We start from the raw sequence: 22,565 nt of genomic DNA, 5'->3' as shown, positions 1-22,565 counted from the left end.
GTTATAGCAAAATGATAGAAATTTTATTTTGCACATTTGAGTGTAGGGTCCTAAAATGGGTACCTGCTACCCAAGTGATGAGCTACTGCCTTTGTTTGTTAACTGCTCTTTCCTCCCTCAGCCTCTAGCCTTCTCCTTTCATCCAGCGGTGCTAGAGACCTGGTGTTGATATCCACATTCATAGGCTCTGAGTGATCTGGCATTTTTAAGATGGCAAAGCACTTTTGCATCCTGTGGGCTGTTGTCTGTAGTTCTGGCATATTGCATGCCTGAAGGCAGAGCTAGCACTGCTACCTCCAATACAGATGAGAAAACTGAGACCCAGAGAGATTAATGGTAAGGTTACACAGCAAATTAGAAGGAGTGTAGGACTAAGACCTAGGCTTCCCAACTCCCGGTCCAACTCCTGGGTGGGTCAGGGGTGCAGGTAGATTGCAGAGGATCTGGGATTTGGGGAAGATTCCTGGAATTTAGGCTTGTGCAAGAGGTCATTCCAGGCTTCCCAGCTTAGGGGAGCAGGCCCTGTCCTCCACCTGCAAGGACAAGAATCAGAGACATCTGTGCAGAAGGGATGCTCAGCGGATGACCTCCCTGAGAACAGGAACTACTCATCCTGGGCTGGCATCCAAAGCAGCCACTTTTGCAGTGGAATCTTGGAATAACAATATCACTCCACACTGGGCCTTGCCCTCACTTTGCAAAATACTCTCATGTCCTCTCAGAGCCTCCTGAATGCTCTTTGAGGCAGGCCTGGCTACCTTCATTTTATGGATAGGAAAACTGAGGCTCAGACAGAACATGTGGTTTGCCCAGCGTCTTTGCATGGAAATAGGGAGTTGAATGAAAGCTCAGGCTTTCGAGGACAGAGTGAGGCTAGTCTTCCAGCTGGTCCCTTTTCATATATCCTGGAAAGATAAACTGAATGAAAGGAGCTTTCCGTCCTACTTTTCATTTGTGCCAGAAATGACAACATCCCTTTCCCATCCAGCAAGATAACTAAAGACACTAAATCCTGTTTAGAATTTAAAAAACTTTCTACATTTTTCTCTCACTCTGAGATGCTCACAGTCATAAAGAATGTGTTAGACTTGGGCCAACAGCAAGGTTGTTGAGCAAGTGTTCTGCTTTCAGAGGTGGGCCAGCACCACCTTTTGACAAACGTGGACAGAACCCAAATTGTTTATCTCTGTATCCCGTTCTGTTTATGGAGTCCTCAGTAGGTACTCATGTGTCACGGATGAATGCATGCATGAACAAACAACCTCTCCTTGGCCTCCTCTGTGCCTCAGTGCCCACCATGGAAGCGTCTTCAGAAATCATCTTATCCAGCTGGCTCCTCTTACAGATGAGGTCCAGAGAGGGTGAGTGACCGGCTGGAGGTCACACAGCAAGTTAGAGGAAACACAGGTGCTGGAGGATTACCTCCCTATTTCAGAGCTCGGCCTGAGATCTCATCCAGCCTGTCTTCTGAACCAGGAGAGCAGCTTTAGCCAGGAGAGAAGAGAGCTGTCCTTTATTGTTTAGTTTGCTTTTGAGTCTGGTGCAGCCTTCCAACTGGCATGTTCAGGGTAGCTTCCTGGGCTGTGGGCCATTTTTGGATTGTGAAATCGATTTCCCCAGAGGCCCAGGGCACATCTGCTACCTGCCTTCACCTGGAGAGGAAAGTGGCTCATTTGGGGAGAGCATGTCCAATCTCTATGTTGAAGTAGCACAGATGCTGCCCCATTTGGGGTGTGGAGGTGGAAGGATGCATAGCACAGGGATGCAAGTTTGATGGATGGGAAGACCTGGGACAGGCTGTGTTTCCCATGGGTGCGCTGGGAGGAGGGTGATCCAGGCAGGGAACCAGGCAGAGGCCAGCTGATCTTGAGCCGATGGACAACAGCTCGTGGGAGGAGCCAGCCTGCGCAGAGCAGTGGATGTCCACGTGGGCCCCTGTCACAAGGAGAGGTCAGGAGAGAGAAGTGAGTCCTAAGCTGTCTCTGCAGCTTCTCAGCGTTTCCCTCCATGGCTTGGGCAGCTAAGAGTGGGTAGTGTGATCCACTTGTTCTGGTTTGCTCAGGACCTTCTGGGTTTAGCTCTGAAAGTCCTGTGTGGACCCATGCAAACCTGGATGGTTGGTTACTGTAGGTGGGGAGAAGTGCATGGTCTGGGGATTTAAAACCTGGCTTGAGTCCTGGTACTTACAATTGTTTTGACATGGAAAAGTCACTTTGCCTCTCAGAGCCCAGCTTCTACATTTGCCAAGAATGAATAAATGAGAAATCTCATCTCATGGCATCACTGTGGGTATGTAAAAACCTTTAACTCTAGGGCAGGGAAGTATTGTCTATTTTGTTTACTGCTCTATCCCGTGTTTAGCACCTGGTGCCCACTCAAAAATACGTGCTGTCTCCATGAATGGCTCCCTAAATACTTAGGGAGCACTTCCTAGGTGCTAAGCATCCTCTACATCTCAGTTATTTCATCCTCATCAAAAAACTTTATTACATTCTCTGAGGGATAAGGTGACTCTTCCAAGCCACTCCTCAGGCAATTCAGAGCTGGGATTCGAACTCAGGCAGTCTGACTCCAGAGCCCGTGTGTCCAACATCTGTGTACTGCACTTCCCTCTGTGATCCTGTTTTGTAAACTGAGAAGTTTTGCACAGGAAGGACAGGCACCATGATGTTCACTAAGGGAGGAGACATGAGGACAGACAGGCAGCCACTTGTCCCAGGCCCCACAGTCTTCCAGATTTCTCCTTGCCCCATGCTGTTTCTAATATAATTTTCCTTGCACTTTTTCCTGTAGACAGAGCCCCCGAGGTGCTTCTTCACATCTGGGTCTGACTGGGATATTTCCAGACAATGGCTCCCTCCACCCTACCTTGAGGCCTCAGCCACTTACAGCCACATCCAGATTTGTGGGCAGGGCCACACTGGCTTCACTCAGCTGCTGTGGAGCCCCCAGGTTGCCAATCTTCTCCTGCTTCCGCCACTTGGCTCGCTGATTCTGGAACCAGATCTGTAATCAGGGAGAAAGGACGGGGATAAGCAAGAGTTTTCCTCCATCTAATACCACTTCCCCCAAATTCATAATAACTACACCTTCCAAGGGACTGTACTTTATAGTTTGTAAAGCTCTGTGGCATCCAGGATGTCTTTGGATCTGGAGGTCAGCTTTCTGAGAGGGAACCGGGGTTTCCACCTTCAATGCCTACAGGGCCAGGGGGCCATGCATGAGTGAAGCAGCTGGTGCTGCCCAATTGGGATTGGCGGGGTCTGTGGTGAATAGAGCCAAAATGGGGCAGCTTCTCAGCTCCCGTCAACAGTCACCACGTGGAAATGTGAGTCCGGTGTTGCAGGTTCATGCAATCTCCAAAGTGGAATATTGATTTATATGTGAAAGCTTCTGAGTTTTAAACTACTGTGCAGACCAAATGGAAGTCATGTGTGGGTCATCAGTGGGCCACCCCTTTTCAACCCCTGGGGCCTCTTGGCCGGCTGAATATTGGCAGCTCCCTGCATTCCTGAGCAGGTGCTGATGGTCCCTGACTTGTGGCCATTTATCCTTGGTAATTCTGCATAGGCAGGTGTTGAATTCTGGGCTTTGTGGCTGATACAGGGGCTTCCCATTTAGCTAGTGCCTGATTCTAGATGGGAAGAAAAAGGAGAGAAGTCTTAGACATGAGTGGTCCCCAGCCAGAAGGAAAGGATAGAATAAAGAACAGAATGTTGGCCTGATTTTGAATTAGAATGAGTCCATCACATTTGTGGAAAGAAAAAAAGGAGAGCAACTTAGAGAACTATTTTAGAGAGAATGCTAACGGTGCCACAGTGAGATCTGGTGGAACGTCGTGTGCTAGGGTGGCACTTGCAAAGCTGGGTGCATGTGAAGAGGGCAGGAAATACCTCTAGTGAGTGACAATGGGCTACTGTATTTCTAATCCTGCATGAAGCAATAAACTGCGGTGAAGAGATCACAGATGAGAGATTAGCCTGTTGGTGCTTAAACCAGGTCTCCGACCAAGACCACGAATTCAAGACCTTTTCCACTTCTCTACACTGCCTCCAAAGGGATACCCATGTGTTGTAGATCAGGGGTTGACAAACTGCGGCCTACAGGCTAAATCTGGCCTTTCACCTGTTTTTGAATGGTTCATGAACTAAGAATCGTTTTCACATTTTTAAATGGCTAGAAAAAAAAAGAAGGGTAGTATTTTATGACACAGGCAAATTACACAACATTCAAATTTCATGTTCATAAATAAAGTGTGTTTACATATTTTCTGAGGCTGCTTTTGTGCTACCTTGGCCTGGTTGAACAGTTGCTCTGACACTGACGATATACCCTGCAAAGCCTAATATCATTACCATCTGGCTCTTTGCAGAAAGGTTGTTGACCCCTGATCTAGATGGCCAATACTTTGTGAATGAGGCTGCATTGTGAACGACGTTTGGGAACTGTCGCCAAGCGGGGAGGAAGGGTATGGAGCAGATCCATGGTGATCACTGATGCCACTTTACTCCCTTTCCATTCCCGGAGGAGAGAAACCATTTTGGAGCTATAGTGACCTCATTTCATGGAAAATAATATTTGGCCAAAATGACTGTACTCACAGGATAAAGCCAACAGAAACTTTTAGATGGGGCAACCCGAAAAGTCCCTGGATATATTGTGTCTCACACATGGTCCCAAGGGCATGGAGGCTGGGGGCTGAGGTAGGGATGGCTGTACCTGCACCCGAGCTTCTGGGAGGTTGATCCTGGCTGCCAGCTGGCTGCGGATGTGAACGTCTGGGTAGTGGGTAAAGTGGAAGATCTTCTCCAGCTCATGCAGCTGCTCAGTGGTGAAGGTGGTACGAACCCTCCGCTTGCTCTTCCTTCCTTCTGCATGGGAGAGGGTCCAAGTTGTGTCAGTGGCCTTGGTGTCAGCACCTAGGTGGGGTTTTTGTGTTGCCTTGTCCTACCCTTCCACCCCACTGCTGCTCCCGAGCCTTGGCCCCTGGCTTCTTGAGCTTGGAGCTTCACAGTATTCTCTTTCCTAAAATCCTCTGCCTCTAGACCGACCCTCACCCACCATGGACATTGAGGCCAAGTTAACCATCTAGAAAATCTTCTCTGATTGTGCCTTTCTGCTGCTACATTGCCTTCAATGACTTCCTTTTGTCTACAGCAGGAGATGGCAAACTATGGCTACCAGGCCAAATCTGGCCCACTGTCTGTCTTTAAATAAAGTTTTATTAGAACACAGCTTCTCCCTTTGGTTTACGTATTGTCTCTGACAGTTTTTGCACTTTAACAGCAGAGTTGAATCATTGCAACAGAGACTGTGTGGCCTGCAAAGACTAAAGTAATTACCAGCTGGTTCTTCATAGAAAAAGTGTGTCAGTCTTGGTCTGCAAAGTAAAGGCTGAGCTCGATAGCAGTCAAAGCTGTTGACAGCCTGTCTCCAACTCACCTGTCCAGCCTCCATTCTACCCAGGGCTGGCTACATCATTTGTGGGGCCCAGTGCAAGATGAAAATGTGGGGCCTATTGCTCAAAAAGCAGAAAGATAGCTTTTTATTTTTTCCATAGTCTCTTAAATTGTCATAGTGGGTTTTTATTTGCTATTTCATGTCATGCATCCCTCAAAGAGCATAAGCATACTCACAGGGTGAGATTAGGTCTCGCAGGGACCTGGGGACCCACCCTGAGACTTAGAGTCATGGATACCCCATGAAGAAACTTGGTTCCACTCTGCAACTCAGTGCTTGACCTCAACCCTCCATGAACCCCTGCCCAGTTCCCTTCCCCACCAAGATGGAGGGAGCAGTAGTTGCTGGGTAGCAGCAGGGAAACAGTTGACCAAGACCATCCTAGAGAAGCTGGGAGGTTATGAGAAGGCATTGATAGCCTCTGGTGCATGCATCACTGTTCCACTGGATTCCACTAATCAGAGATTCAAACATGCAATTACTAAGATTTCAAGATGGTGACAATATGCATTCAATCCCACTCTCAGGGCCTCCTTCTAAGCACAGGGTCCTGAGCATCTGCATTGGCCATACACACACCCATGAAGCCAGCCCTGCCTCCAATACTTTGTTGACCCACACACCTTGCTCATTCAAGTTGGGCTGCTTACCATATCCATAACACATCACGTGTGTGCTTATCACTTTGTTTTTTCTAAGACAATCACCTCGGTCTGGGATCACCTCTTCTCTCTTGTCTGCAATTCTAACATCTGCTGATTCTTCAGCATCTGCATTCATTCTTATAATCTCCAAAAATTATTTCCTAATCTTTCTAGCCCTGGGTAATCTTTCTTACTGGCAATATCTTCATTCCACTTGCTAGCTTTATCATTCATTCATCTACCTTTTTGTTAAGCACAAACCCCTTTCTGCCAGGCACAACACTAGGCAGTGCGTTGCAGAAAAGCTGAAGGCTCGGTCCTTGATTGGAAGCACTCATCATATGGTGAGATAAGGGGTACAGATAGGCTTGCACATGACCTAGAATACATGGTGGTCACTGTGCTAACAGAGGGAGGTGGACACCTGCTGGGATTTATCTGTCCAGAAGTGCCTCTTTCCTGGGAACTGCCCTGCCCTCCTTTTGAAAACTGTTCTTCACATACACCAACCAGGTAGTTGTAGTGGGAACTGGTTCAAGTGTGGGGAAACTGAACTGGAACTATTGGAATTCATCCTGGACATTTTTCTTTATACAACTAGGAAAGAGAATCAAACCCCTCTAGTGGTACAGTGGTGGTGGATGTGATTAGTAGGATGAGCTCCATCAACTACCATCTCTCTTGTCATGCTGCTGAAGTTGTTTGCAGGGAGGTGTAGAGCTAATTATGGGATATATTTTGGAGAGAGGCTGTCAGGTGAGATTGATGGATTATCTTTTGGCTGAGATAAACCAGGGACAACAATTTGGTTTTGGCTTGAGCAAAAGATGTGTGTGTGTGTGTGTGTTCATGTGTTTGTATTATGGGGAAATCAGGTGTTCATCTTGGACATGTTAAATGTGTGATGCCTATTGGCTAGCTAAAGGAAGCTATGGAATAGGAAGATGCATTGATAAGTTTGGAGCTCAAAGGGGAACTGAGGACTGAGGTTCAAATTAAGGACCTATCAGCATCTATTTAGCCTTTGTAGTCATGGGAATGGGTATCACATAGGCAGAAAGTGTAGGTGGGGAAGAGGACAGGACCCAGGAGCAAGTTTGCGGTGCCTTCACCATGTAGAGGTTCAGCAGTAGGGAAGGCAACAAAGAGACCGAGAAGGGGAGGCCTCTGAAGGAGGAGGAAAGTGAGGACTGAAAGAAGGCACAGTCAGCTGGGTCCATGCTGCAGAGAGACCAATTATGATAAGGACAGAAAAGTGGTCCTTGAACCTGGCCACACAATGGAGAGTAAGGAAGATTGCCCCATTGGCAGAATGGGAGACTCAACCAGCATTGCCTGTAGCTCCTGGTTGGAGCCAGGTAACAGAGGACATTGGAGGAAGGACCAAACCCGGTGGCAGTGGGTTTGTTTACCTGACCATGGACTTCTGAGGACAGAATTAAAATCCTTGTCTTAATTGGACTGCAGATTGTCCCTGTGTTGTGATTTTAGGGATTGTAGAAAAGGCACAAACCCTCTCCCCAGATCACCTTCACTTTTGGGGCCCAGTGGAATTCCTACCATTCTAGCTAACACCTTGCCTCTCCTGATTTTTTCCACATTCCTTGTAAGAAAAACCGCTCTTGGGAAATAATTAAGAACCGAGGTACTTCTTGTCCCAGGGTCACTTACACTCATGCTCAGAGAACTCTAAGCCTCCCAGGGAAGGGAGCCTCGTATGTCTGCTGTCATCCATCTCTAGGCTGTGAGCCCCTGGAGGGTGGGGACTGTATCTGAGTAGGGACTGTAACTGACTGTATCTGAGACCAGCTGAGGAACTGGCTCCCCGAGAGAGCTTAACAAATATATGTCTTAAATGGATAAAAGTAGAATTCAGGCTCTGCTCTCAATCCTGTTGGACAGAAAAGACTTCCACAGGATTCGTCTAAAACTTTGTACAATGTCAGATGTCACACATCAGAAAGGATGACTGACGTGAGCTGAAGCTGCTACAAAGGAGGGGTGGGAGTCTGAGCTCCAGCTGAGGTCTTCTGACTCCCACTCAGCCCACTTTCTTTTTACCCCAAATAAGAGAGGTAAAGCCATCACATACTAAGAATTGGAGTAGACACTCAGTGAAAAATAGATTTCACTTCTGAGGGTTTAACACTTGAAGAAATCAACTAACTTGTTTTCTTTCTTGGTGCTTATGATCGATCCTGCTGTCATTGGATAGTAGAAAATCCAGTGAGCTGGACATCAGAAAATCCAAGCTGTGTTCCTGGTTCCACTATGCAACTTGTGCCACATTCTGGATTCATTATCTGGGCCTCAGTCTCCCCATCAGTAGAATGGAGGGAGAGAGAGGCATTGAATGATCAGGTCACTAAGGCAAAATCCACCCTGACATTTGTAATCCTCCGTCTCTGGGATGGAGGATGAATGGCTCAAAAGCACTCACCGCAGGCTTGCCTGCAGAACGCGTTTACTTGGTGAAAGGGACAGGGCTAGTGAGATTTCTCTCTGGGAAGCCACCAGGCCCGGTTGCCTCAGTTGTAGAAATGGGATTTCAAGTTTGCTTTTGCTTTCACTCCCTTCTACTAGCCCTCATTTTTGTTGTTAATCCATTTTTATCCTTTCAAAGTACTTTCGCTCACTATTGTGGATTTTTGGAAGCTTCTTGGGAGTCGCAGGCAGTGAGGCTTTGAACATTACTCCCCACTAGAGTGAGTTATTGGCCTGTGACCCACCTCTGTAGGAGAGCCTCATCTCTGCCTCTCCTTCTCTACCCCCTTCCCTCCCTAAGTCCACACTGCCTTTTTAACTTCATGGGTTTTTAAAAAAAGATATTTATTCTATGTTTAGAGCTGGTGTTGTGTTTAAGGGATATAGCTGAAGTCAGTCAGAATTGATGTAGAGAGAAATGGCAGGTGTTAATTCATTCCAAGAGCTCAGTGAATGTCATCTCTGTAACCAGCACCTAATAGGCACTGAGGGCCAGTCTGCAGGAGTACAAAATGAACAAGCCATGCTTGATAGTATTGGATTTACTCCTTCATTCATTCAGTCAGTCAGCATATTAGATGATAGTAAATGATATAGTGCAGTTCTGTAGGAAGCTGCAAAAAAAAAAAAAATTACAAAAGGGAAGATTCCAGGTTGACCTGGAAAACTGAGGTGTCAAGGACAGCAGGGAGTTGAGGTCTTCATGGGACTATAGAACTGTGGGAGAGAATGTGGGGTGTGGAACCAGAATACAGGAAATGAAATAATATGGAGAACAGAGGAGTAGAAACAGAAGACGGGTCATAACGAAAATAAGCCGTCTCCTCCATTTACCCCAGAAGGAAACTCAGGTGAACAAGGATTTATGACTAAGAATAGAATCTATAATAAAATAAATATTTCAAAGCTTCCACTTGTGTAACCAAAGGAGCAGCTTTTAAGACATGATGGCTTTTTCCTGTTCCCAAGAGTACTGGAAGAAGGTAATTTAGAGGTGGGGTGAAGAAGGAAAGGATCTAAACTCTGCTCTGCAAAACAACCTGACTGCTGACTTCATGGGGGAGGGGCTGCCTGCCAAGTCATAGCCTGGTGAGAAAAATATGTTTTCTCATTAGCTTTGAACTACACATTCTCAGGATAAATGTTTGTCCTTGAGAGGTGATGATGATGATGATGATGATGATGATGATGTTGTGCTTGTGTCTCACAGTTTTAGTGGCCTCTCTTGGAATAAGGAGGGGTGCCTAAAATTCATACTGGTGAGGAATTATGACTGGAAAGACCCAATCAGAAGGCCAAGAGCAGTGTTGGGAGAGACAGATAGAATTCAGCCTGGAGTCATGGAAATGAGGTTAGAGCAGTGTCCAAGGGGGCAGCTCAGGAATGATGAAGGTCAGCACTTCAACTTTCCTACAGGAAAAGAGGAGGCTGTGAGGGGTTGCCAGGAAAGCTGATGCTTGGGTTACAGACCACAGAGAGTTACAAATAAGGGAACAAGGTGGGAGAAGGCAGAAAAGCATAATATGGAACAGAGAAGAAGGTAGAATGCAGTTCAGCATGTAGAATTTTGGAAACTCGTTATTAGACAAGAGGCTGGAAAATACAAGCTCATTGATGGCCCTGGCCCATGCATAGGATAGGATTCTCAATCACCAGGAGAAACCAGGGTGTTCTGGGTCCCTGCTAAGAGGGGACACTTCTGAGGCAGCATGGATCATCCTGGAAGGAGAACTGGATCAGGAGTGAGAAAACCCTTGGGTTCCCATCCAGCCCAGCATCTCCCTACCAGGTTCTGGGCAGAGAAGCCGAGAAGCAGGTGGTCAAAGCCCAGCCTACCTAGGGAGTGGGCATGTGGGGACAACAGTGGAGGGGGATGGAGGCAGCAGGGAACTGCCACCCTTTTCAAGTTGCTCCTCTCCCCGTTGTTAATGGTGCAAGCTGTGACTCACACTTTAATAGGTCTTCAAAGAGAATGAATCAGCAGAACTTAATTAAACCTGAGCCATTTAGCACATCGATCATAAGAAATACACAATTTACACAGGTGATTAGGCCACCTAATTATAAACTGATGTTTCTCCTCGCTCAGCACCCTCCCCTGATTGCTTCTTCTCTGGGGTCTGCTAATTGGTCCTGGTTGAGCAGCTAAAGGCCCGGGGGACTTTGCCGCTGGGCAGTCTCTGGAAATGGGCCTCATCCTCGTCTTCTGAAAACAGTGGGTTCACCATGGAGGACACCCAGGGCCCCCTTTGCAGCCCTCCTGTAGGCTGGGGACACCTCCTGACACACGAAGGTGGGGTGCGGGGCAGGAGTCTCCCCATGGCCCACCTGCGCTGGCCTCATTTCGCTAGTCAGGCCACAGACTTTCTTTGGCTCCCTGTGCCCACAGGGAACAAGGCAAGCTCCTTAGCATGGCGTTCAAGGCCTTTCCCATTCCATCTTTCTAGCATCATCTGCTTTCCCTCAGTTGTCATTTCCATAATTTTAGTCCCACCTGACCATTTCCAGATTCCCCAAATCGGCTATGCACTTTTATTTTCCAGGTCCTTGTTCTGCGCTTCCTGAGTCTGGAATTCCTTGTCCTCCTCCTTTGCCTGGTGAACTCCTACTCATCCGTCAAAGCTCAAATCAATCAAATATTTCTTTATGAGGTCTGTTGTGAATCTCCTGGTTGAAACACAATAGGTATTTTTTTTTTTTTAATTTAAGAGTGCGAAATTTCAGCTTACAACAAACTGGCTTCCATATTTGTAAAAAAAAATTTTCTATGAGTCTCTATGAGTCAATCAATCAAAATATCTGTAGTGATTATTACTGGATGGTGAGATGGTAGAATTATAGTCACATTTCTTTTACCTTTTTATCTGTATTTTCTATTTTTCTGTAATACACAGGAACTTCTTGTGTAAATAAATAATGAAATAAAACAGCAAAGTGGAAAGAGATGAGAATAAAGAAATCACTGGAACAATTAGGAGGAGACCCTTGAGAAACTCACCAGAAAGTGAGTGCCACTCCCCGGGGTGACTGGCTTAGCACTCTCTAGGCAGTGTGAAGCTTGCATCTTCCATACCTGTGGTCTCACTTTCATAATATTTTGTATGTATGAATTTTAGCATGTGTACTCCCCCCACCACACACCCACACATACCCACACTCACCCATACTTTTTACTTACGTATTTAAAAAAATTTTTGTTTCTTCCTTTTTTTATTTTAAAGCAACTGTACCCTTTGTTTAAAGGAAATCATAAGGAAACCCTACAAAACAAACAGCAGTAGAGCTCCTTTATTGAAGTGTGTGTGGGGCCCACTCCATCTTCCCTTCATCCAAGGCAGCTCTGGTCATGCATCTCAATGAAAGCCTGAAGTTCCCAAAACATTTTAAAATCTAAGGCTTAAAAAATGCTGATGTGCATATATAAAGGCCAAAGTTCTTGGCTTGACACACCTGACCTTCCGTCTACCTTACCTCTTTCATCTCTTGTGACTATGCTCCATGAATTTTAGACTCCAGCCACTCAATTTTGTTGTTTCTCAAAGGATTATTCCTTTTTATACCTCTTGGGTGCTTCACAGGCTTTCCTTTTCCTGGCATGTCCTGTCCCCTTCTCTGCCTGACTCCATCTCAAAAGCCACTACTTCTCTGAAGGGCTGTCTCTGATGGTGTTATGCAGAGTTCATTATTGCCTCTTCTGTGTTCTAAAGCACTTTGTTAGGTTTGTATATCGTATTTGTATTATGACAATGTGACTAATGACAATGCGTTTAGGTCTGGTGAGATTAAACATGAAGCATGGGCACAGATTATTGGGACAGGGTAGCAGTGGGTTGATTTCATGTGCTATAATATTTCAACATTTCTAACTCCCTTCCTTGCTGGGAAGTTGTGTGCATGTGTGCGTGTGTTGCGTGCATGCATGTGTGTGTGCACGTGTGTGTTTATGCTTCAGACCCTCTCCACTTCCTCTCCAATCTATACTGTGTTGATGCAGGGGAATAATCAGACAACACAAGCTGTGCAGTCAGGGGATGTTTCAAGATGTGACACAGGAAGTGTCCTAGAACTTGTTCCTGTTCAATGGGGAAATCCATGTTTAGTTATCCTTCTTGCCAAGAACTAAGGAGGAATTTAATTGTTCTCTTTACTTAAATACCTACAGAAGGCCGACCAAGGTGGCAAAAGTGCAGAATGCCCAGATTAGAGATCTACAAAGCCACAGGGCTTTGCAAACAGGAGGAATAGACATTTCTGGCCAACAAATTATTAACAACTGCCTCCTTACAAGGAGTGGGGAGGAAACCTCTTTAGCAACACACTACTGATAAAGAAACTTGAGGTTTCCATATATGGAGACTAAAATGATGTACAAAGAGTTCTAAGGGTCCTGAAATAAGGAACCATCATCCCAGCATGGAACAGTGAAGTAGAAGGGGAACAGCAAGATGAAGACTCCAGACAAGGCCCAAGCACACACAGCTGCTCCAGCCACACCCGCTGGTCTCAGTTGACTGGTTTGGAGGTGGACATCTCACTCAAGCTCGGCCAATGGGTGTCCCTCCTCTGGGGCTTTTGAACATGGGATTTTAGAGAGCTTGAGGATGTCACTGGAGGCTGATGTAACTCTTGGAGCTATTGGAAACTATTAGGAGAATGCCAATTAGCAGCAAGGAAGAGGTGAGCTCACATGCAGAGAGAAACAGCTGCAGAGACTTGATGACATTATTGGTTCTGGATCCCATCACGGCTGAAGGTTGCTTATCATTCTGCCCTTCACCTGGCTTAGTCTGGGAAGTGATTTCTTAATTTTCTCCAAGGCAATACATGTCCCTCTCCATTTTAGCTGGCCTAAGATAATTTTTGTCAATTGGAACCAAATAGCTCTCATTAATACTGATCACTGTACACTTTCCTGTCGAAAATTTGAAAATGGTTCTTCATTCCCCTAGGAATACAAAGCAAAAATAAAAATCTCTACCATAGCCTACAAGGCCAGCGTGGGCTGGCTCCTTTCTGGCTCCTAGACCTCAAGTTGTATCCTTGGACATCACCTATTAACAGGCCCTTGTCCATGGGGCTCCCTCCATGTGGAATGCCCTCCCTTCGACCCTACTCAGTCTTCAGATTACAGACCGACCACAGCTTCTCTGGGAAGCATTTTCTGACCTCCGTGGCAGACCAAACTCCCATGGAATAGTCCCTTGGAGTACCAAGTCACCATCTCCCCAGCACTTGCCACAATTGTAATTGTACTTTCATTTGTGATTATGTGATGGTTATTTGTCTCACCTGCTGTCAGATCAGTGGCAGCATTAGATTCTCCTAGGAAAAACCAACTCAGGGATCCCATTGATTCTACATTATGGTGAGTATGAATAATAATAGGAATAAAGTACACAATAAATGTTATGTGCTGGAATCATCCTGAAACCATTTCCCCACCCACCGTCCATGGAAAAATCATCTTCCATAAAACCGGCCAAAAAGGTTTGGGGACCACTGCTCTACACCATCTCCAGCACCCAACTCAGTACCGTAGTGGCTGTCAGATGGGTTTGCAACTTCATGGACACTCCTCCTCTCAAATTCTCCTTAAGTGGGCCCAGCTTGGTGACTCATTTCTAATGAATGAAATGCAGTGAAAGTGATGTGATGTAATTTCTCAGGCTAAGTCCTAAAAGGAAGCTGCTTCCACTTGGCTGTCCCTCGAGGACTGTTTACTTTGAGAAAGGCTATCTGTCATTTTGTGAGGACACTCAAGCAGCATGTGGAGGGCCCTATATAGGGAAGAACTGGGTCCTCCCACCAGTGGCTGTTACCAGCTCACTAGCCATGCAAGTGAACCACCGTGGACATAAATCTTTTATTCCAGTCCAGCCTCCAGACGACTGCAACCCCAAATAACATCATTACTGCAATCTTATGAGGGACCCTGAGCCAGAACCACCCAGTTAAGTTACTCCCAAATTCCTGATCCACAAAACTGAGTGAGATAATAAATATTTATTATTTTAAGCCACTAAGTTTTGGGATGATTTGTTGTGCAATAGGTATGCCTGGCACGCAGTAGATATTCAGTGGCTATTTGTTGCCTGTCTGGATAAATAATACAGTGGATAAATCAAACTTAAATTATAGCCAATGTTTTAAGCCTCCTCCTCTGCCCATTTGGATTTCTCCTAGCTCTGACATTCTGGGCCCTATGATTGTAGTTGATGTTGTCAGTGGCTGGCTTGTATCACCCAGACCTTTCCATGCTCCATATCTACTTCTTACTGCCAGGGTTTGTCTTTAGGGATCAAATCTTTGGATAATTCTAGGGAGTATGTTTGCTCCATTTCCCAAAGGATTTGAGCTTCAGTTACTCATAGGGGCCACTGGTTTAATAACACATGCTTTATTCATTGCCTCCCCTTCCTTGTATTATTCCACTACTTCCTTGCATGTCCCATATCAACTACTTGTGCTCAGATCCTTTCTTTAGGGTCTGCTTTTTTGGGGGACCCCACACTAATACCGTGCTCTTTTTTGCAGGTAGGGGCCATGCCTTGTACTTTCTTGTGCTCCCACAGGGCCTGAGACTGAGCCAGGTTCTCAATTCTAGAACCAGTCTCCAGGTATCCCTGTAGGAAGGTCCCCATAGCTCTGGTGCCAGGAACTAAGAGATGGAGTCCATTGGAGGAAGACCAAAGCACACTTCTCTTGAGGAAGTGCCTGTTTTTAACTCCACATCCTTTTGCCCTGTTCTCGTCTGCTCTGATGGGAGCTCCTGGGTCTACCTGGGTAAGAGCCAGAGCTGTTAATCACCAGGTGATGAGATACACACAGGCCTTAGTCACAGCCTCAAACCAGGGCTGCCTCTCCCAGTTCCCATAGCAGAGCAGCTGTCTTTGATTTCAGGTAGTTCAGGGGAGGAGGAGGGCTACGGAAAGGAGGGAGAAGTGAGGGAGGAGGAGAGGAGAAAGAAGTGAGGAACAGGGAAGGAAAAGGACCCTCTCTCCAGAGGCGCCTGACCCAGGGTACCTCTCCCTTTCTTGTGGGGTCCTTTCTGCTGCTTCTCCCAGTCTCCTGAGATAGCACTGAAGAGGCCCTTTCTCTCCGACTGGGAGCTGACAGTTGTTGATCTGTCTTTGCCAGGAATTTTGCTCCAAATAGTCTTTGTAGATATAATTAAGGCTCTGGGCATAAGATCATTGCTGATTTAGGGTGGGCCCTAAATCCAATGACAGGTGTCCTTATAAGAGAAAGGGACATTACACACAAACACACACGGCAAGGCTGTGAGAAGATGGAGGCAAAGTGGAGTGATGCGTCTACAAGTCAAAGAAGAATAAGGGTTGCTGGAACCACCAGAAACTACGAGAGAGGCATGGATCAGATTTTCCCTTGGAGCCTCCAGAAGGAGCTATCTCTGCCAATACCTGGATTTCAGACTTCTGGCTTTCTGAATGGTAGGAGAATACATTTCTGTGTTTTAAGCCACTCAGGTTGTGGTAATTTGTTACAACAGCCATAGAAAATTAATACAGGGAGGAAGAGGGGAAAGAAGAGGAAGAGGTGGCAGGAGGAGCAGTGGTTTCTAAATGGCAAAGACACCAAAGCATTTAAAGGGCAAGAAAGGTTTGGAATTTGGAGAGGAGCTGCCTGCACCTCGAAGGTAGACAGGGCCGGGGAGGGTGTGATGGGAGGTGAGCCTGGGATGAACAGGGCCAGTCTGGGAAGGACTTTGAGTGCCACACTAATGTGTCAGGGTCATGTCCTTGATGAACTGCAGCATGAGGGCCAAATCTGGCCTGACCCCTGTTTTTGTATATAAAGTTTTATTGGAACATAAGCCTACCCATTTATTTACACATTGTCTACAGATGAGTTTCAGCTGTGATAGAAGAGTTGCGTAATTGTGACAGAGACCATCTGACCATCAAAGCTTAAAATTACCATCTGTTCCTTTGCAGAAAAACATTGCTGTCCCTTGCTACAGGATGCTTCTCAAATGCCAAGAATTCTACCATGCCCCTGGCCAGCTCCATCAGACAAGATGGGCAGAAGGCAGCACTGCCCCAAGGTGGCACTGCCAGGGACTTCCATCCCCCTCCAGGTGAGTAGTCACTGCATCTTGTTTTATTCACCTTCACCTCCCCAGCCCCCAGCCTGGCCCAGAGTAAGCACTCAGTGATTAGTCACTGACTGAATGAATAGATGGTGAGCAGGCAAGGGAAGATACCTGGGTTCCCCACAGGCCAGGCAGTCCATACTGGTTTACCCACTGGGGTGGTCTGTCTTCCTTGTCAATTTTCTATCACCTTTCGCCTGGGGCCTATGATTTCCCCACAAAGGATTATCAGTGGTAGAGATGCAAAGATGGTCTCCCTCTCTCTCTTCCCAGGATCTGAGCTTTCAGTATAAAGAGGCTTCCTCCTGACTGGGTCTCCCTTAACTTTGGAGGGTCCTGAGTTTTGGAGGGCTTCCCTCTCCTTGGAGGAGAGAGCAGGAGGCTGGGTGTAGAATCTTTTCAGATAAAGAAGTCCTCTTGGATTTTCCCATTGACTTTTAAGACCTGGGAGGGTCCAACCTATAGATCATGAAGGTCCCTGCAGGAATGGGAAGATGTCAGGGGGGACCTTGGTCCCTACCATGAGAAATGAGGACAGTAGAGCACTACACTAGCCTTGGAGCCCAGATAACTAGCCTGGCCCCATCTCTTGCATGTACTGGCTCTGTAGCTTGGAAGAAACCACTTCACCTTATTGAGTCTCAGCTTCCTCTAAGGACCACTTCCTTGGGCCACCAACATCAGAATCATTTGGGAGAGCTTGTTAGAATGCAGATTCCTGGGCCTTTTCACTTAGAGTCAGAGTCTTGGTTGCTGGGCCTGACAGGCTGCATTTTAATAAGATCCCTAGGTGAGATGGCAAGGGTTGTCTGTGAGCCAGTCTAGGAAGCCTTTTAAATGTTAAGTGGAGACAAAGAGGAACTTATTCCTCTATCATTATTCTTGGGGCAGGAGAGGGTGTTGCTGTTTCTGCTCCTGTTGCTCTCTGCTGAGGGGTCCTGCACAAAAGGAGGGACGTAAAACAGGGAAGTAGAGAAGCATCAGCCAGCAGCAGTAAGCACAGGCCTGGGCATGAGGGCTCCTGTGAGGGTAGGGAGAGGCCTTCCAGTCTCTCTGCTCCTGCCCTGCCTGGGATCATGACCATCCTTTCCCCAGGGAGAAAGATTCTACAGTGGAAAATCACCACAAGGGAATCCTGCAAGGTTTTTCAGCAACTAATTTGTTGTTAAGTTGGTCATGGCATGTCAGAGCTGGGAGAGACCTTATGAATATTCTAGCCCTGCTCTTTCATGTTACAGGTGGGGAGATTGAGGCCAGAGAGGGAAGTGACTGGCTTGAGGTCCTCCCGTGCACTGGGGCCAGATCTGGGCTTAGAGGGTAGGTTTCCTGAAACCCTGCCCTTCTCACCCAGTGTGTTTCAGAGACTCCAGCTCATTTGCAATTTCTGCAGGTTTCTTTTATATAGTTTCTGGCAAGTTCATATCCCATCTGTATTATTTGTTTAGCATTTTCCCAAATAGACTTTTGTGTTTGACTCAAATAATAAATGTATTTTAAAATAATACCTTATATCATGATCATACACAGATAACAGTGTCTTTCATCATAAATACAAGGTTAGTATAAAAGTAATTACAGGACTATTGAGCTAGATCATCTTTATCTACATACCCACCAAGGTCATCTTGAGAGCCGCCAGTGGGACCCTCTCCAAGCTTTCAGAAATGCCGAATTCCAGCATAGTGGGAGACGGATGGATTTAAACTAAGTTCAGGAATAATCTAGAGTAGATGGTCTAAGGCCACCAGGGTTCAATTCTAGTGCTCATTACTCACATAGTTTTTGTGGGGGATTTATCTTCTCTTCTTGGTTTCATCATCTGTAAGTTGGGCTCCCAAGTGTGACAGTGAGATGGGAAAATGGCCACAAAAGTGCTGTGGAAGGAATATACCACCATCCGATGTCACCACCGCTAGTCTGGTCAGCACTTACTGGGGTCTGTTCTGGGACCAGATGGATAGCTGACACGGAACATGCCAGAATCTTCCGTGGAGGCCTAGAAAGAGTGGTTTCCTTTCTGAAGCCTGCCGTCATCGGGCTAGGGGAAGGGAAGCTTCTCTGGTAGGAAAAGCGAGACCTCTCTCTCATGACACAGGGTGATCATAGATTTGTACAACTGCAGGAGGAGAGACTCAGGACCCCAATGGAAATGTTCCTATGAATCTTTAATGGACTGGAAGATATTAATGAACTTCCAAAAATTAAGCTAGAGACCCTTTCCCTTTGGAAAACTCAGCTATAGGGAAACACACCAGGCTCCTTCCTGCCTGCAGACACACAGCCCTCCTGGTCTTCCTCATGCCTGCAGCTGAGTGCGACCCCTCATCAGCTCCCTCCATGGGAGACTTGCCTCGTTGGTGGGGATGTGGAGCTCTATTTATGGCAGGTAATGACATTAAGGGCTCCCTGAGCTTCCTTTCCAGCATTTTCTGGGATTAAAAGGGGTGAAAAGGGGAGAGAACTGAGAACCTCATGTGAGATATTCCAGGCTCAGTGACAGTCAGACTGACAAGGCCCTTGAGACATCGCCAGCTTCACCATTTCTTATTCCTTCACCCAGGTGTTTTGCTGAGAATAAACCTGAGGCTGCAGTGGACAGGGACTTTTCTGAGGTCACATAGCAGGCCAAGGTAGAGCTAAGACTCACATCCTGGGTTCCTGACTGTTAGCAGGTGTGTGCGTCCACACCAATGCCCCAGTGCGGCTTTCCTCCCTTCCTCAAGCCAGCTCTCGATCTACCTGGTCACTGTTATCTGGGGACATGCCTTGGGGTGGCCACTGGCTTGGGGAAGGTGATCAGGGTGGACAGACTTTTCCCAAGCCAAAGCTTCGGCCCCTGGGCAAAGCTTCAGCCCCTGGAAGTTGTGCAGACTGAACTTGGCTTATGAGGAGGAGACTGTGCTGGGCCCAGCAGGGATTTGGGGGAGTCAGAGCCAGGTCCTGATAGCGGGGCTTCTGTTTACCAGCTGTGTAACTTGGGGACATTATCCTCCTCTTCTCTTTCACAGATGAGTTTTCTTATCTGTCCAGTTATGATAATCATGCTTTTCTACTGAAATTAAAAGAGAATGCCTATGACATTGTCAATGCTGAATAAATGGTAACTAGCATTCTTAGCCGGGGCCTGGTTACAATAACAAGCCCCAGGTCCCTGCATTCTGCAACTAACTGAGCCTTGGTGTCTGAAGCTGAAAAGCACAGTTTTGGGTTAGATTGAAAGGTATATCAGGAAACCAGCCCAGAGCCAGGTCTTGCTCTGAATTTTAGAGTCCTCTATCCAGTTAATATGGACGGAGAAGCTTTTTCTCTGCCTGAGCCCAGCTGGGTCTTGGAGACCAGGAAACAGAAAGAAATGATCAGAAGACACTTACCCTGGGGCTGGTCCTTTGGAGGCTTTTCTAGCCCAGAGCCTGAGGCCGCAGCTTCTCCGGGGCCCTCTTCACCTGGCCCTTCTGGTCTGTCCATATCACTCCTCCTGGCAGGCCTCTTTAGGATCGCCTCAATGGAGAAGGACAGGCTCAGCTTCTTCGGGGCCTCACAGCACCCCAAGCTATTTCTCTCCATACCCCTGCAGAGAGCAGGGCCCACCTCAGCACACATTGAGGGGCTCAGGGGTGACTCTGTGTAGGCCAAGGAGGGTGCCAGTGGAGAGTGGCGTACTTCCTCCCCTGAACCTCCTGGGGTCAAGAGGGCGCGTGGAGGTGAAGAACAGAGAGCCTCCAGTTAGATGATCCAAACAGGATTTCGTGTCCACAGGGACTTCCATGGGCAGGTCACAGCAGAAGAGCTGGAAGGAGTGGTATCCTGTGCCCACGGCTCAGCCCTTACCAGTTTGACATCAAAGGAGTCACCATGGCTGAATTGGGGTTCAATCTTCCAGAGAAGGGTCTTCTCGGACACAGTTGCCTGCACAATCACCAGGTTAGGCCAGGATCCCTGAGGTCACCGCCCAGTGGCGAACAAAGAGAAGAGGGAGAAACAATAAGGCACAGGAAAGAGGAGGTCAGTCTCCAGAGGAGGTTTGGAGGCAGGGGTCCACCTTTGCCCTTTCTCTGGCTTCTGGCCCTTTCCTGTGGCTCTAGCCAGCCTTTAGGAGGAGGTTGGAGTGCCACCCTTGGCCTCAGGTGGCCAATTCAGTCCTGGGCTTTACTGCAGCTTGAGGGGTCTTCCCAGACACCCGTGTTTACTTCCTTCAGTTCTGCTGCTTCCAGACTCCAGAACGTACCTTCAGCGCATCAGTGCTCCTGCTGTCCTGCAGGTGGAGGCTGAGGAAAGGGGGTCCCTGGGTGCTGCCAGGCCTGTCTCTTCTCTGTGCCAGGGCTGGGCTGAGCTGTGGGTCTGATTCTTCTCAGGTGCCTCTGGGCTGGCCCTGGCTTTTTTTCTGTTCTATTTTCCCTGACGTCACTTTACATGCGAAGCCCTCTCTCCACAAGCGCCTGACCCAGGGTACCTCTCCCTTCCTTGTGGGGTCCTTTATGCTGTTTCTCCCAGTCTCCTGAGACAGACTGAAGAGGCCCTTTCTCTCTGACTGGGAGCTGACAGTTGTTGATCTGTCCTTGCCTGGAATTTTGCTCCAAATTACTGTGTAACCAAGGAGGAGGGGGCAGTAAAACAGGCTGATAAGAGAAAAACTCTCCACGCCCCTTAAGGCTGGGGATGCAGGTGTCAGGGTAGAAAAGTGGCAGGAGGCAGTGGGGATCTGAAGGACAGGTATTGGAGGCCCCAGGGAGGGGCTGTGCTGGGGAACTGGCCAGAGCAGGGGAAGGGAAGGTGGGAGCAGAATGGCCAGGAAGTGTACCCAGGCCCAATAAAACATGTTTACTCAGCCAGGAGAGCCTGTGGTCATGTGTGGGGGAGGCTGGGCTGAGGTGCAGTCTGCTGGCTGTCAGCCTTAGGCATTCATTTGCTCTCAGATGTGCTTTCCATGGCTTGCAAATATCAGATCAGGAAAAGCATTCCAGGGCTTTCTGATATGGGGAAACTGAGGTCCAGACCAAGGAGGTACAGAAAATGTGATGGCAGGGCCTGATCACAGTACTCCCCTGGGGATGTCCATGATGCCATGCTGGCCACAAGGAGCCAATTTGCACAGGAGGGATGGATACCCTGGCAGAGACTGTGAATGTAAATTTGGATGTTAGAATCTAGATCTTCTCATAGAGGGCAGGGGTGGGAGGTGAAGGATAGGGAACGTTGGTCTCCACTCCCTGAGAAGAGTGAGTCAGGAGAGAGAGGGACTCACCCTGAGAGAGGGAACAGGTAAAGATGCCCCATTTTAGGAGCTGTGCCCCTTGGAAGTGTCAGGCTGTCTGATTTAGTTAGGGGGGGAATAGGCTCTGCTGTAGTAGCAAGTAAACCCTATAGTCTTGGGAGCATAATAGCTCACCCACATCACATTCTAATGTAGTCATTTAGGGACCCAGATTCCTTTCAAACAGTGATGCCACCATTCTCCAATCATAGGCTCCAAGTTTTCTGGGGAAAGGGAGACAGCAAAGGAGAATTTTTTTTTTTTAATTTTAAGTTCTGGGATACATGTGCAGAATGTGCAGGTTTGTTACATAGGTATACATGTGCCTTGGTGCTTTGCTGTACCTATCACCCCATCATCTAGGTTTAAGTCCTGCGTGCATTAGGTATTTGTCCTAATGCTCTCCCTCCCCTTGCCCCCAACCCCTTGACTGGCCCCAGTGTGTATTTTCCCCCTCCCTGTGTCCATGTGTTCTCATTGTTCAACTCCCACCTATGAGTGAGAACATTCAGTATTTGGTTTTCTGTTGAAAGGAGAAATTTTGATGAGTCAGAAGTGGAAGTGGTTGATAGACCTTCTGCTCACATTCTGTGGCCAGAGGGAGTCACATGAC

The 22,565-nt window shown here is 47.4% G+C and overlaps 1 protein-coding gene and 1 long non-coding RNA gene across 3 annotated transcripts, besides 1 other annotated feature; one reads left to right on the top strand and one right to left on the bottom strand.

Moving 5' to 3' along the window:
- Window position 1: 1 nt before the first annotated feature.
- ISX (intestine specific homeobox) lies at window positions 2-21,231 on the bottom strand. 2 transcript variants are annotated; one of them, NM_001303508.2, is made up of 5 exons: window positions 20,927-21,231; window positions 20,073-20,637; window positions 4,720-4,871; window positions 2,890-3,006; window positions 2-1,935 (listed from the first exon to the last, which is right to left on the bottom strand). In NM_001303508.2, exons 2-5 carry the CDS (start codon window positions 20,299-20,301, stop codon window positions 1,696-1,698), a joined length of 738 nt encoding a protein of 245 aa, NP_001290437.1. In that variant the 5' UTR covers window positions 20,302-20,637; window positions 20,927-21,231; the 3' UTR covers window positions 2-1,695. The 2 variants fall into 2 exon arrangements, with proteins under 2 accessions (NP_001290437.1, NP_001425661.1); NM_001438732.1 differs by having other exon boundaries at window positions 20,073-21,231.
- Window positions 10,129-11,328: an enhancer, noted in NCBI's record as "CDK7 strongly-dependent group 2 enhancer chr22:35472054-35473253 (GRCh37/hg19 assembly coordinates)". NCBI's record gives its function as "activates an origin of replication core promoter dependent on BRD2, BRD4, P300/CBP, MED14 and CDK7 cofactors, with strong dependence on CDK7, by STARR-seq in HCT116 cells {active_cell/tissue: HCT116}" and the evidence as "EXISTENCE:reporter gene assay evidence [ECO:0000049][PMID:35650434]".
- Window positions 11,418-14,607, top strand: LOC124905110 (uncharacterized). Its single transcript, XR_007068084.1, has 2 exons — window positions 11,418-11,592; window positions 12,751-14,607. It is a non-coding gene; the product is annotated as an uncharacterized LOC124905110 (long non-coding RNA).
- Window positions 21,232-22,565: the final 1,334 nt, after the last annotated feature.

This window comes from Homo sapiens, chromosome 22 (genome assembly GCF_000001405.40).
Source record: "Homo sapiens chromosome 22, GRCh38.p14 Primary Assembly".
Classification (NCBI taxonomy): domain Eukaryota; kingdom Metazoa; phylum Chordata; class Mammalia; order Primates; family Hominidae; genus Homo; species Homo sapiens.
Note: the sequence above shows the minus strand (reverse complement) of the source record. Positions and strands in the feature narration are given on the sequence as shown.

Coding starts and splice junctions, on each gene's coding strand:
- ISX (NM_001438732.1), bottom strand. CDS start 20,301: ATGTGTGCTGAGGTGGGCCCTGCTCTCTGCAGGGGTATGGAGAGAAAT. Junction 4,872..20,072: donor TCCAAAGGACCAGCCCCAGG/GTAAGTGTCTTC, acceptor TCTCCCATGCAG/AAGGAAGGAAGAGCAAGCGG. Junction 1,936..2,889: donor CCACAAATCTGGATGTGGCT/GTAAGTGGCTGA, acceptor TCCTTGTGACAG/GGGCCCACGTGGACATCCAC.